The sequence below is a fragment of the Homo sapiens genome, chromosome 1 (genome assembly GCF_000001405.40).
Source record: "Homo sapiens chromosome 1, GRCh38.p14 Primary Assembly".
NCBI lineage: Eukaryota > Metazoa > Chordata > Mammalia > Primates > Hominidae > Homo > Homo sapiens.
In genome coordinates, this window is record NC_000001.11 from 54,227,716 (window position 1) to 54,241,939 (window position 14,224).

The following is a 14,224-nucleotide window of genomic DNA, read 5'->3' on the forward strand; positions in this document are numbered from 1 at the left end:
TATAGGCATGCGACACTACACCCGGCTAATTTTTGTATTTTTATGTAGAGATGAGGTTTCACCATGTTGCCCAGGCTGGCAGTCTGGGGTTCTTGAAAGCTGCTTAATCATAACACTGTTTCTTCAAATGAGAATGCACACAGAAGCCCACTATAGAAAAGCAGACAGCCAACCCGTGTTGAGAGCCCTGAAAATCGTTGGCTGCACGAACCTTTCCCCACTGGACAGATGGAAATGGACCCGTGGGGCAATACTGCCCCAACTCTCTCAGCCCAGGGCTCTCCCGGCCGTATCAGCTTAATCAGTGCCAGAGGCATCCAGCCTGCATGGAGCTGCCTCCAGAAGGCCCCACCAGCAGGCAGTCTCAGGGCAGCGTCAAGGCTGCACACTTCTGCTAAAAAAATAACTGAGGTGGAAAAACCATAACACGGCCACCAGCTTAGCTGGCAGGCTGCAGCCCGGCTCCGTAGCTCGCAACTTGTTAGGAAAGAGTCCCCAGGCCGTGGGGACGAGAGCAACAGGCAGGGGGCGAGGCTTACATTGTCGTTCTGAAAGGAGTGGAGGAAGTTCCCTCCTAGCTCGCCGTCATCTCGAGGGGTGCCTGGAGGATTGCTAATGCCACTTATGTTGTTAGGAGAATTCTGTGGAAAGAGGAGAGGAGGTGAGCACCTGTGTCCCCAACAACCTGCCCACACAGATGGGGCGCCGCCAGGGAGACCGAGTGCACACTCACTTTTGGAAGTCCGTCTATGTCGCCTGACCCTGGAAAGAAAAAATAATCCAATTCAGTTTCTTGCTTGCTCTTCCACGGAGGGGTCTCCCCTCGTCCTGGGCTCCTCGGGCCTCTAAGCCCTTCCATCCCAGTCCCACACTGTGCGGAGGGCTTTCTGTGCGGCATCCCTCTCAGGATCGTCCTGTGTGCCCAGCCAAGGCCGGCCAGGGCTCTGTACCAAGCCCAGCTGAGCCAGGAGCTGAGGCACAGAGCTGGCTGCCCAGGCAGGGTGGGGCATGGCGAGGGCAGGGGCCACTCACCTAATGATCCATTCATGTGGTGTGGCTCCATGCCACCCATGCCGCCCATCGGACCGTCCGAGCCGGGACCCATCGGGAACTGGGGAAGAAGCACAGGGCATGGCAGCTCAGCGGGCCCTGGCCCTCTGCACCCCTCACAGGCAGGGGGCTGCAGCCACGCTTGAGTCCTGGCCCTGGGGAACCCCTGCTCCGGCAGGCTCTGCTCACACTCGGACATGTCCTGCCTGGCAGCTGGGCCAGGGTCCTCACCTCGGCCCTCTAAGCTGCAGGGCAGAGGTGCTCATTCCAATGACCCAGGTGAGGGAGAGGGACTGGCCCACTGCCACCCAACTCCACACAGAGGCACCTCTGAAACTGAGCCTCTCGGATCCCACCACAGGGCCCTCTCCATCCCCCGTGTGGAGAGTGTGGTTCCCCAGACAGAGGCACATGTGGACAGCTCTCCGACCATGTCAGGCCAGGGACCAAAACATCTGTGCTTCTCATCCCCACTTCACAGGTGAGGAAACAGAAGCAGTGAGAGGAAACGCTTTGCTTGAGGTCCCAGAGGCTGGAGGTGGAGGAGCTGGGACTGGAACCTGGCAGCAGGCCTGGAGCTGTCATGCTGGCCCTCTCCCAAGTTAACAAAAGGAAGAAATTAGAAATGAAGATGTTTCCTGGGGCTGGGCGGTGAGAAGAGGTGGGGTTTGATGAGTGGTGGGGAAGAGAGAGCTAGGGCACTGGCCCTGGAGGCACTGCATGGCACCCTGGGACTGTGGGGTGGTGGCAGGAGGTCACTGATGAGGCTCCCATGCAGAACTGTTGGTGTGGCAGATGAGGGCTTGGAGATAAGAGTCGATTCTACCCACCCACAAGCCTATCTGGAACTATCAAACCCTTCTCGGAAAGGAAGACCAGAAAGGTCACATCCCACAGCCACGAGTCACGGGGCTGGGGAGGGGCGGCTGAGCCCAGCCTGGAGCGCCAAGGCCCTGTGATGCAGACTGCATCTGCATCGAGTGGGAAGGGAGTGGAGGTGGTGGAATGGAGGGCTGTTTGGCACCTGGCCGGGACTGGGTGCCACAGACGCAGAGCTGAGTCACACCTGAGCCCCAGCCCAGAGGAGCAGCTCACGGATACCCAACTACCCCACAGGAGGACAGAGATGCTGACTTCCAAAGACAGCTGCAAAGTACAGCTGCGGCTTCAGAGCAAGGCAGAGAAATCAGAACCGGCTGCCTGGAGGAGGAAGAGAGCATCAACAAAATTGAGGGGTAAAATCTGGGCAGGCAGAGCCCATCGCGGAAATCACTCTAAGGCAGGGGTCCCACATGAGCAGAAGGCTACCAAGTGGGTGGCAGCATGGCGTGCCAGAGCACAGAAAGGGGTGTAAGGGGTAAGGCTGTGACCAGGCTGCAGGGGCACAGCTAGGGTATGAGCTGCTTCCCCGTGCCCACCCAGACTGGGGGAGGGGTGGCGCATCCTTGCCTCTCCAGTGGGCCCCCCACCAAAGCAGCTCACAGGCTTTTGGGCACATTTTGCCATCTAGCAACCAATTTCATGCTTATTAACCTAAGTGATAGGAGGATGAAAGTAACCAGCTTTCTAGGGAGCCAACCCAGGACACAGCCATGCCAGACCCCCAAAATCCCCAAACATGATAATACAGATTTATGCACATGTATGTCATTACCTTAACATGAATATGTCGCTACTTTAACATCAATGTATTAAGAAACAAGTATTTCTTCAAAATGACATATTATTGTATACTTTCTGTATATTAAGTTTTATTGAGATATAATTCACAGAGCATATAACTGACCCATTTAAGTACAATTCAGTGGTTTTCAGTATATTTACAGGGTTGTGCAACCATCACCACAACCAATTTTGAACGTTTCCATAACCTCAGAAAGAAATCCTGTACCCGACTGCAGTCATTTCTGTCCTCCTCCAACGCCCCCGGCCCCAGGCAAACACTAATCTACTTTCTGTCCATGGATTTGCCTATCCTGGACATGTCATATACATAGAATCACGTGAGCTTTTGTGGCTGGTTTCTTTCACTTAGCATGTTTTCAAGGTTCATCAGTGTTGTCACATCAATCAGTACTTTATTCCTTCCTATGGTCAAAAAGTAGTCCACCGTATGGATATACCACATTTCATTTATCCATTCATCAGCAGAAGGAACGTTCAGGTTATTTTCACTGTCTGACTATTATGACTAATGACACTGATGTAATGACACTCATGTCTGCCGTGTGGACATACGTTTTCATTTCTCTTGGGCAGATACCTAGGAGGAGAACTGCTGGGTCATAGGGTAACCCAATTACCATATCACAGCAGACATCACTAGGCTGTCTGATCTTTCGAGGAAACGTCAAACTGTTTAACAAAGCAGCTGTGCCATTTTACATTCCCACGAGCAGTGTCTGAGAGTTCCAATGCTTCCACACCCTCGCCAACACCAGTCATTATCTTTTTTACTACAGCCGTCCTAGTGGGTGTGAAGTGCCATCTCACTGTGGTTTTGATTTGCATTTCCTAATGACTAACGATGCTGAGCATCTTCTCATGTGCTTACTGGCTATTTGTAATTTTTGGAGAAATGTCCATTTAGATCCTTGTCCCATTTTTAAATTGGGTTATTACTGAGTTTTTCTAAGAGTTCTTTATGTATTTTGAATTCAAGTCCCTTATCAGACACATGATTTATTTTCTCCATTCTGTGGTTTGTCTTTTTACTTCCTTGATGGTGTCCTTTGAAGCACAAATCTTAATCTCCGATGAAGTCCAGTTTGTCTACTTTTTTCTTTTGCTACTTGTGCTTTTGGTCTTGCATCTAAGAAGGCTTTGCTTAACTCAGGTCATGAAGATTTACTCCTGTATTTACTTCAAGTGTTTTGTAGTTTCAGCTCTAACATTTAGATCTATGGTCTACTTTGTTTTATTTTTTATTATTTTTTAATTTATTTTTGAGACGGGTTCTCACTCTGTCGGCCAGGCTGGAGTGCAGTGGCGTGATCTTGGCTCACTGCAACCTCCGCCTCCTGGGTTCAAGCGATTCTCATGCGTCAGCCTCCCAGGTAGCTGGGACTACAGGTGCGCGCCACCACACCTGGCTAATTTTGTATTTTTAGTAGAGACAGGGTTTCACCACATTGGCCAAGCTGGTCTCAAACTCCTGACCTCAAATGATCCACCTGTTTCGGCCTCCCAAAGTGCTAGGATTATAGGTGTGAGCCACCATGCCCGGCCCCCTATGATCTACTTTAACTTTTGTGTACTGCTGTAAGGACACAGTTCAATCTCATTTGTCCACATGTGGATATTCAGTTGTCTCAGCATCATTTATTCTGTATTATTTACTTTTCCATTAGATTAATGCTATTATGTAAACAACAATAGGAACTGTTAACAGCGGCAATTAGTAGCAATTAGGAGGTGGACTAGTTAAATGATTGATATGTATGAGGAAAAATATTAATATTTTTATAACGTTTCTGTCCTCTGATACAGAAATAACTTTTTGCTCGAATACTTAAATTTGATAGGCTATATTACATTAATTATTTTTTAGAGATGAGGTCTTGCTCTGTCACCCAAGCTAGAGTGCACTCAAGTGATCCACCTGCCTCAGCCTCCTGAATAGCTGGGACTACAGGCTCGAGCCACTGCACCTGGCTTATTATTTATGTTTTTTTAAAATAAAACATAGGCCAAGCATGGTGGCTCGCACCTGTAATCCCTTTGGGAGGCTGAGGCAGGAGGATCACCTGAGCCCAGGAGTGCAAAAACAACCTGGGCAACATAGTGAGACCTCATCTCTACATCAACAAATAAATTAGGGGCCCTCTCCCTCTCCCCACGGTCTCCCTCTCTTTCCACGGTCTCCCTCTCATGCGGAGCCGAAGCTGGACTGTACTGCTGCCATCTCAGCTCACTGCAACCTCCCTGCCTGATTCTCCTGCCTCAGCCTGCCGAGTGCCTGCGATTGCAGGCACGCGCCGCCACGCCTGACTGGTTTTGGTGGAGACGGGGTTTCGCTGTGTTGGCCGGGCCGTCTCCAGCCCCTAACCGCGAGTGATCCGCCAGCCTTGGCCTCCCGAGGTGCCGGGATTGCAGACGGAGTCTCGTTCACTCAGTGCTCAACGGTGCCCAGGCTGGAGTGCAGTGGCGTGATCTCGGCTCGCTACAACCTCCACCTCCCAGCCGCCTGCCTTGGCCTCCCAAAGTGCCGAGATTGCAGCCTCTGCCCGGCCGCCACCCGTCTGGGAAGTGAGGAGTGTCTCTGCCTGGCCACCCATCGTCTGGGATGTGAGGAGCCCCTCTGCCTGGCTGCCCACTCTGGAAAGTGAGGAGCGTCTCCGCCCGGCCGCCATCCCATCTAGGAAGTGAGGAGCGCCTCTTCCCGGCCGCCATCACATCTAGGAAGTGAGGAGCGTCTCTGCCCGGCCACCCATCGTCTGAGATGTGGGGAGCGCCTCTGCCCCGCTGCCCCATCTGGGATGTGAGGAGCGCCTCTGCCCGGCCGCGACCCCATCTGGGATGTGAGGAGCGCCTCTGCCCGGCCGCGACCCCGTCTGGGAGGTGAGGAGCGTCTCTGCCCGGCCGCCCCGTCTGAGAAGTGAGGAGCCCCTCTGCCCGGCAGCTGCCCCGTCTGAGAAGTGAGGAGCCTCTCCGCCCGGCAGCCACCCCATCTGGGAAGTGAGGAGCGTCTCCGGCTGGCAGCCACACCGTCTGGGAGGGAGGTGGGGGGTCAGCCCCCCGCCCGGCCAGCCGCCCCGTCCGGGAGGGAGGTGGGGGGGGTAAGCCCCCCGCCCGGCCAGCCGCCCCGTCGGGGAGGGAGGTGGGGGGGTCAGCCCCCTGCCCGGCCAGCCGCCCCGTCCGGGAGGTGAGGGGCGCCTCTGCCCGGCCGCCCCTACTGGGAAGTGAGGAGCCCCTCTGCCCGGCCAGCCGCCCCGTCTGGGAGGGAGGTGGGGGGGTCAGCCCCCCGCCCAGCCAGCTGCCCCGTCCGGGAGGGAGGTGGGGGGGTCAGCCCCCTGCCCGGCCAGCCGCCCTGTCCGGGAGGTGAGGGGCGCCTCTGCCCGGCCACCACCCCGTCTGGGAGGTGTGCCCAACAGCTCACTGAGAACGGGCCAGGATGACAATGGCGGCTTTGTGGAATAGAAAGGCGGGAAAGGTGGGGAAAAGATTGAGAAATCGGATGGTTGCCGTGTCTGTGTAGAAAGTAGACATGGGAGACTTTTCATTTTGTTCTGCACTAAGAAAAATTCTTCTGCCTTGGGATCCTGTTGATCTGTGACCTTACCCCCAACCCTGTGCTCTCTGAAACATGTGCTGTGTCCACTCAGGGTTAAATGGATTAAGGGCGGTGCAAGATGTGCTTTGTTAAACAGATGCTTGAAGGCAGCATGCTCGTTAAGAGTCGTCACCACTCCCTAATCTCAAGTAATCAGGGACACAAACACTGCGGAAGGCCGCAGGGTCCTCTGCCTAGGAAAACCAGAGACCTTTGTTCACTTGTTTATCTGCTGACCTTCCCTCCACTATTGTCCCATGACCCTGCCAAATCCCCCTCTGTGAGAAACACCCAAGAATTATCAATAAAAAAATAAATTAAAAAAAATAAATAAAAATAAAAAATAAAAAATAAATTAGGGGCAACATAGTGAGACCTCATCTCTACAACAACAAATAAAATTAGCCGGGTGTGGTGGCACGTGCCTGTAGTCCCAGCTACTCAGGAAGCTGTGGTGGGAGGAATCCCTTCAGCCCCAGATGCTGAAGCTGCAGTGAGCCATGACTGTGACACTGCCCTCTAGACTGGGTGACAGACACCCTATCTCTAAACAGACAAACAAACAAACATAATAGGATTAATGAAACAAACATTACTAATATTTAAATAAAAAATAACAATGTTTCTTTCTGCCCTAGGATACATTAGAACATTCTGCTCTGCTTTCTTTCCCACTGGTCTCTGAATTGCCTGAAGCCTTTATAGCCTTTAGGACATCCTTTTTATAAAAGAAAAAAAAAAAAAGAGATGGAGTCTGGCTCTGTCATCCAGGCTGGAGTGCAGTGGCATGATCATGGCTCACTGCAGCCTTAAATTCCTAAGCTCAAACAATCCTCCCGCTTCAGCCTCCCGAGTAGCTGACTACAGGCATACACCACTGTACCCAGCTTAGAACACCTTTCTTTTAAATGCACTGGTAAAACGGAATATAGTCAAACTTAAAATCCATTTGACTTGTCACTCTGTTTATTCAAAGCCCATGTTACACTGACTCCTAGTGTCACCTAACACGGTACCACCAAACTAAATATCCTCTCCACACAACCCTTATACACAAAGTACCTCCGGTTTTACTTATAAGCACAGGTTTTGGGACTTGTAGGAATTCACGTCCATCTCTCCAAAGATGTCCATCCATTTTTGTCCAGGGGCTGGCTTTGGAGGACCAGCTGCTTGTCAATCAGGCCTTTGCATCTGTAATTCATCAGATGGGCTATCCCTGTCTAAGATGTCCAGTTTTTTTTTTTTTTTTTTTTTTTTTTGAGACAGAGTCTCACTCTGCTGCCCAGGCTGGAGTGCAATGGCACGATCTCTGCTCACTGCAACCTCCACCTCCCAGGTTCAAGCGATTCTCCTGACTCAGCCTCCTGAGTAGCTGGGACTATAGGCGTGTACCACCATGCCCGGCTGATTTTTTTTTTTTTTTTTTTTTTTTTGAGATGGAGTCTCACTCTGTCACCCAGGCTGGAGCGCAGCGTTGCAATCTCAGCTCACTGCAACCTCCGCCTCCCGGGTTCAAGCAATTCTGCCTCAGCCTCCTGAGTAGCTGGGATTACAGGCACCAGCCACCACGCCTGGCTAATTTTCGTATTTTTAGTAGAGACGGGGTTTCACCATGTTGGTCAGGCTGGAACTCCTGACCTCAAGTGATCCTCTCACCTCGGCCTCCCAACGTGCTCGGATTACAGGCATGAGCCACCGTGCCCGGCCAGATGTCCATCATTTTTTAACACTCCAAAGCACAATGGATGTTATAAATTAAAATTGTTATAAAAAATGATTTTAAAGCACAGAGGTAATCTGAAGTTGCAAAATCCAAGTTGGATTCCAAATATGTTATAGTTTTAATGAAGAAATTGATAAAGTCCTGTTTAACTTGACTGCCTTTTCTGGTGACATTTTTTGAGTTCTCAAGCATTAAATGGGTCATTATTCCTGCTGTATGAGGTTTTGTGGCCCCCTCTCCAATCCAAGTGTGGCTGGCTAGCCCCATCTAGGCTCCTCGGGGCTCCTTAAGGAGCATCAGAGAGTACTGGCAAAACAGTATATACATTTCTATTTTATTTTTAATGTGTTTATGTATTTTTTTTTTCTTTGAAACGGAGTCTCATTCTGTCACCCAGGCTGGAGTGCAGTGGTGTGATCTCGGCTCACTGCAACCTCCACCTCCCAGGCTCAAGCGATTCTCCTGCCTCAGCCTCCCGAGTGGCTGGGACTACAGACATGTACCACCACACCTAGCTAATGTTTGTATTTTTTAGTAGATATGGTGTTTTACTATGTTTGCCAGGCTGGTCTTTAACTCCCGACGGACCCCAAGTGATCTGATCACCTCGGCCTCCTAAAGTGCTGGGATTACAGGTGTGAGTCACCGCGCCCAGCCTATGTATTTTTTATTTTTATTTTTTTGTTGCAGAGATGGTGAGGATGTCTTGCTTTGTTACCCAGGTTGGTCTTGAATTTGTGGCTTTAAGTGATCCTCCCACCTTGGCCTCCCAAAGTGCTCGGGTTACAGGCGTAAGCCAACGTGCCTGGCCTGTATTTTATTGTAATTCCTTTTTCCATTCTCATCTCAATGCATTTCCAAATTAGAGAAGGACATCCTTCTTGTCTCACACTTTAAAAAATAGCAGTTTTCATGGCAAGCCAACATTTTAACATCTTTTCTATGGCCAGCAATGATAGTCATCTTGTGGAAACGTGTCTGAGGCATTCTCCTGTCTATAAAGTCAAAGATCTCATTAAGTGCTTTGGCATGTTTTGAGGAAACCGAAAGGTGACCCAAAACTTTCATTATGAAAGCTGGTATCACAGGTAAGCAAATTACACCCCTTTGTGACAGTGTCGGGTACGAGGTGTGAACATTTAGCAGGTAAGATGTTTTCATTTTCATTGGTAAGAAGCTTATGGACTAAATGAAATTTGCTCAAATTAACTGTGTACTGTCTGCCAAATATGTAGATAAATGAGCAAAGTCTAGGTTGTATTTGGACAAGAGAACAACAATCTCTTACGTCTTCAGTGGCTTCACTAAAATCTTCACAGAAATCGAGAAGACGATCTGAAACTCCAGTTTTCAAATCAACATACCTAAGAGCTAGCGGAAACCTGTAGCCATGACTTCAGGCAGCCCTTGACGCACTCGGAAGCACGAATGCTGGAAGGATCAGACAGGGTCAGCACTACTGTAAAGGGGCAATGCATCTGTTACTGAAAGTCCCTCGTCCTTTGGTTCACACACAGGACTTTTAGTTTGTAACCTCCGAATCAGGAAATGTAACCTTCTTGGTTTGCGGTGCAATCAAGGGAACAAGATGATAATGGCGTCCATTCAAGGAGTGCGCCCAAGCTAATTCTGCGACCACTGTTTTTGACTGAGAACTGCTGTCTCTTTGGAGGTCAAAAAAACCTTGATTTAGAAAGATATGCCTCAGACTTGAGAGACTCAATGTCCAATGTGCCTCCACCTCCCCTTCTCCATATGCCATTTCTCACATTCTTTTCTGCACACCGCGCAGTACATTCTGTTTGGGTTCTTTCCTCCCTAATCCAGTTGTGTGTGTCCTTGCATCTGTCATTAAAGTAACATGGTCATTTAACCTTCTTTCCCAGTGATGCCTGGGTCACGCTGGTGCTGTCATTGTCACCGTTCTCATTTTCATCATCTGAACTCTTAGGAAATACAGTCACAATATTCATGATGTCAAGACTGAAACCAGCACCGTCTAGACAAAAAGCCCAACACTGAATCTGCAGCAGACTCCTAGGCAAGTGCTGCTAACATGCATGACTGCAGCGTGCGGAGTTGCAGCCTGAGTGATGTGATCCATGGTGAATCACAAGTCCTGATGCCAGCATCCACGTCAGGCAACATGGCGACAGTGACCACTCGAGGCAGATCATCCACGCCATTTCCATCCGATGCTACAAATGGTGCTGTCATCCCTCTGTGTGGGTTTCATACTTTCCACCCAACCTTCTGCATCACTGACAAAACCCAGGACTTTCTGTGTCCTGGGATTCCTCAGGATGTGGGGCTTTTTAGTGTTAAAAGCCAGATGGTTGGTCACACCAGTGAGGACCCTGGCAACGGAGGCAGGCCAGAAACCATCCCTCAGAGGGCTGCTGGATGTAGGCAATATCCAGCACAGGGCAGCCCGCGCTCGGGGTTTAACACGTGGGGTGATCCGGGTGTCACCTCAGGAACGGAGCCAACAAAACCAGAGTGCCCCAAAAGGCCCTACCCCCTCAACCAGGCCAAAGCCTCGCACTTTAGGGCCCCAGGCCCACTCTCTGGCTCTACAGTCTGTAGACCTCCTTTTCAGACCCTGAGCTCCTGGAGGGGCAAGGCTGAACAGGTTCACCTGAGGCCTGCATGGAGGAGGAAGGGAAGGAACTAGAATGGAAGGGTTGCCTGTGGAGGGGAAGCAGATCAGGCCCCGACCTCGGGCAACGCCCCCTGGGTGAGGAGACAGGCTGCAGCTGACTAACCAAGTCCCATCCAGTGGGTGCAGGGGACACAGGAGGAAGTGGGGCAAGCAGTAATCAGAAATGGGGAAATGTGAGCTGCAACATCACCCAAGGGCTGCAACTCTGAGAGGCAAAGAAGCTGCCAGGTATTGGGAGTTCCAGAGCTCCTGGCAGCAGCACAGGCAGGCGGGTCCCCCAGCGAGCCCTGTCCCCTTGCTGCTGGCTCCACCCTCAACTCCATAGCCCCAGAAACAGACCCAGGAGGAGAGGGATTGCCCGGGCCACAGCCAGTTTGCTGGGCAGAGACCAGGCCAGACCCCACCTACAGCATGGCGCTTCCCCCACCAGCACGGCAGGAGGTGGCAAGTCCCAGCAGCACAGCGGGCACCCTGGCTCTAACCAGAGGGTGGGCATCGTCCCACCCCTTCCTCTCCCACCCCCTGCCGCCCATGAAATGGGAACTGAGTTGCCCAAGAGTTAATCACTTTTCTGACGGTTTATTTTATTCATCTTTGGTAACAAATGGCTGAAATCAATTAAACTTGCTTTCCCCTCAGCTGATGAAGTTAATTATGATTTGTTATGGTGTCTGATATGTAAATTATTAGAAAGCAGACTTACGTTGGACCGGCTGCCTCCAGGCGGCACTGGATTAATCATTGTGTAGATGTTGTCACTGGAATTTGTTGAATCTGTAGAACAGTGGAAACCCACAAGTCGGGGTGATTAATTCGTTTCTTAATTAAAACAAACTCATGGCACTGGAACTCATTCTTTTGTATTTTATAACCTAAAATTTCCTCTAAGTACCACCATTTTCTGGCTAATTTGTATTTAATGAAGATTCACAAAGTTTTTAATCACAGAAAATTCAACTGTGAAAACCACTCAACCCCAGCAGTGTGGACACGGCACAGGGGGATTACGGGTTCAAATTCTTGTCTCCCCACCCCACACCGAATCTGGTCCCCAGACACTGCCTGGGACAACATGGGGGCAGCAGAACCACCACCTGTGCTCTCCTCCCACCACCTGTGCTCTCCCACCACCCTACAAAGTGGTTTTAATCAAATCAGGGAAAGGGAAACGTGGCAAATTACCCAGAGGCCACCCTGCCAGGCTGATGGGGCAGGAGGGAGAGGCAGGGATGGGGCTGGAAACGCATTCACATATGGAGTGGGTGCATGTGGCCCAGTCGGAATGTAGGTCATGCAGCTCATCAAAATGCAGCAGCAGAAAGAGAGAGCCGGAGTGGGAGCCCAGGATCCCGGCTGCGGCCAGCTCCACCCCTGCAGCTGAGCAGCTTCCCTGCTATGGGGAGCCGAGGAGGGGGCGGGGGAGAGTCCCCTCCATCTCCCCAGTTAGCCAAAAAAGTCTCCAGCTAAAACGTTTCTATCAGGAGCAGGCGCTGTAATTCTTGGGCAGAAATCCAGCTACCTCTCACTTTTTATTTTTGGGGTGGGTAAGGATCGTATGTTGAATTCCTTCTAGCTGGCTGGTATGCTATTCTTAGCTGGGAAAGAAACATAATTGTGATGGGGTGTGTGTGTGTGTGTGTGTGTGTGTGTGTGTGTGTGTGTGCGCGCGCGCGCGTGTGCGTGCGCGCGCGCGCGCAACACATGCCCACGTATGTGCACGCATGCCCTCTTTTGTTTAAAGAAACAGGGAGGGCTGGGTGTGGTGGCTCATGCCTGTAATCCCAGCACTTTGGGAGGCTGAGGCGGGTGGATCACCTGAGGTCAGGAGTTCAAGGCCAGCCTGGGTACATGGTGAAACCCCATCTCTACTAAAAATACAAAAATTAGCCGGGCATGGTGGTGCGTGCCTGTAATCCCAGCTACTTGGGAGGCTGAGACAGGAGAATCGCTTGAGCCTGGGAGGTGGAGATTGCAGTGAGCTGAGATTACGCCATTGCACTCCAGCCTGGGTGACAGCAAGATTCTACCTCAAAAAAGAAAAAAAAAAGGGGGGGGGGGCGGGGGGGAGAAGGGATCTCCTATATAGAGGACCAGAAGCCAGGAGCTACGGAAACTCCAAAGGTAGCATGCCTCAGAATCCTGGTCCCAGGATGGCAGAACCCCAAGGCCCCTTTTTGAGTCATTTGGGGAAATGCCCACCCTGAACAGGGTTCTTCCCAACAAAAGGGATTCAAAGGCAACGAGAATCCCTGTTCCTGGACTGCTCTGCTCAGCCCTGTCCTTTATGGAGCAGCATCAGAGGAGTAGGTTAGTGTCATCAAGGGACCCCCTGCCCTCTAAATGCCCAGTGGAAGATGTGCTGCCCAGGAAGGAGTGGCTGGTAAGCTCTGGCTCTGCAACAGTGCCCCTCCAGGTCTCTCTGGCAACATGCCCCACCCTCCACCACCAGACCCCCCACTTTCCCCTCAAGCGCTCTTACCTGCGGGACTGGGCATAATGGGTGTTCCTGGAGGACCGCCACCACCAGGGGGTCCCTAAAGATGAGACAAAACTGACATCAGACACCCACGGTGGTAACGAACATGGGGAGGGGCCGGCATCCTCCCTCCCTGGTCAGCAGCAACTGCTCGCCCCAGGCCCAGCCGCTATTCATCTTGCTACACCCCCAGCGCTCACTCAAAGTACTCAAGCTTGAGAAGGGGACCTGGATGTCCCCTGTCCCTTTCTTCAGACCAAGCGGCCCCTGTGGGTGTGTGTGCCTGCATTATGTGCTCACAGGCATGCCCACTAGAGAGGCCTGCGGTGGACGCCAAGCAGCCCACTGGTCAGCTCCCCAGAAGGCAATTCCACCCCCAGGTCTGGTTTGGGGATTTCTGGGCCACCTTGGGTCTGTACAGATGACTGAATATTGACAGCAAGTTCTAGCAGTTTGGAACCTCTGCTCAGAAGAATGTGTGAAAGGGAAAGAAACGGGGACCCCAGACCAGTTCTCTTGCACACTCAGTCCCACGTGGCTAGACATGCAATGCCCCAAACCCACACACTTACCACATAGGTACCAGGTGATGAGGAGGAGTATGGAATCTAAAAACAAGATGTCAGGGAGCCCCACGTCAGAGTCACTGAGTGCCCTCAGCTGCCAAACCTCCCTGAGGACACGACCCACTCTTCACAGGAAAGGCATCGCCACCCAGTGAGCTGGCCACCCACTTGGTTCCCCTGGGAGGGCTGGGACGTGGCTGAAGCCCAGTTCTCTCTGCTACATTGAACTGACCCTGAGACCCTGGTCTCTTACTCCCCAGTCCTGGGAGGGAGCCACAGACACAGGGAGGACATAGAAGGCCCTCCGGTTTGAGAGGGCAGGAAACAGCTTTACCCCACATTCCTCTGGCCTTCACCCCACTGTCTGTGTGGAGCACCTTACCCGCACCTTCCAGCCCTGCTGGGGAGGAGATGGGTAGAGGTCTCCACTCTGAACAGTGCTCTCTGAGCCCAGGTTCTCAGCTTACTCCTT

At 51.7% G+C, this 14,224-nt stretch overlaps 1 protein-coding gene and 1 long non-coding RNA gene across 18 annotated transcripts in view, besides 1 other annotated feature; one reads left to right on the top strand and one right to left on the bottom strand.

Moving 5' to 3' along the window:
- The window catches only part of SSBP3 (single stranded DNA binding protein 3), a 188,059-nt gene that overhangs the window by 2,284 nt on the left and 171,551 nt on the right, over positions 1–14,224 (bottom strand). For 15 of the 17 annotated variants that reach the window (NM_001394365.1, NM_001394366.1, NM_001394364.1 and 12 more), the window contains 6 exons: positions 13,759–13,794; positions 13,190–13,244; positions 11,414–11,484; positions 1,033–1,111; positions 734–762; positions 540–641 (listed from right to left, as the gene is read on the bottom strand). In NM_001394365.1, coding sequence (NP_001381294.1) covers positions 540–641; positions 734–762; positions 1,033–1,111; positions 11,414–11,484; positions 13,190–13,244; positions 13,759–13,794 — 372 coding nt within the window. The remainder of the gene's footprint in view (positions 1–539; positions 642–733; positions 763–1,032; positions 1,112–11,413; positions 11,485–13,189; positions 13,245–13,758; positions 13,795–14,224) is intronic. The other 2 variants (NM_001394367.1, NM_001394363.1) reach the window with 1 other exon arrangement.
- Positions 8,728–11,348, top strand: SSBP3-AS1 (SSBP3 antisense RNA 1). Its single transcript, NR_103541.1, has one exon. It is a non-coding gene; the product is annotated as an SSBP3 antisense RNA 1 (long non-coding RNA).
- Positions 10,979–11,479: an enhancer, noted in NCBI's record as "H3K4me1 hESC enhancer chr1:54704367-54704867 (GRCh37/hg19 assembly coordinates)". NCBI's record gives its function as "activates a minimal SCP1, AML or CMV promoter by ChIP-STARR-seq in naive H9 embryonic stem cells {active_cell/tissue: H9 hESC(naive)}" and the evidence as "EXISTENCE:reporter gene assay evidence [ECO:0000049][PMID:30033119]".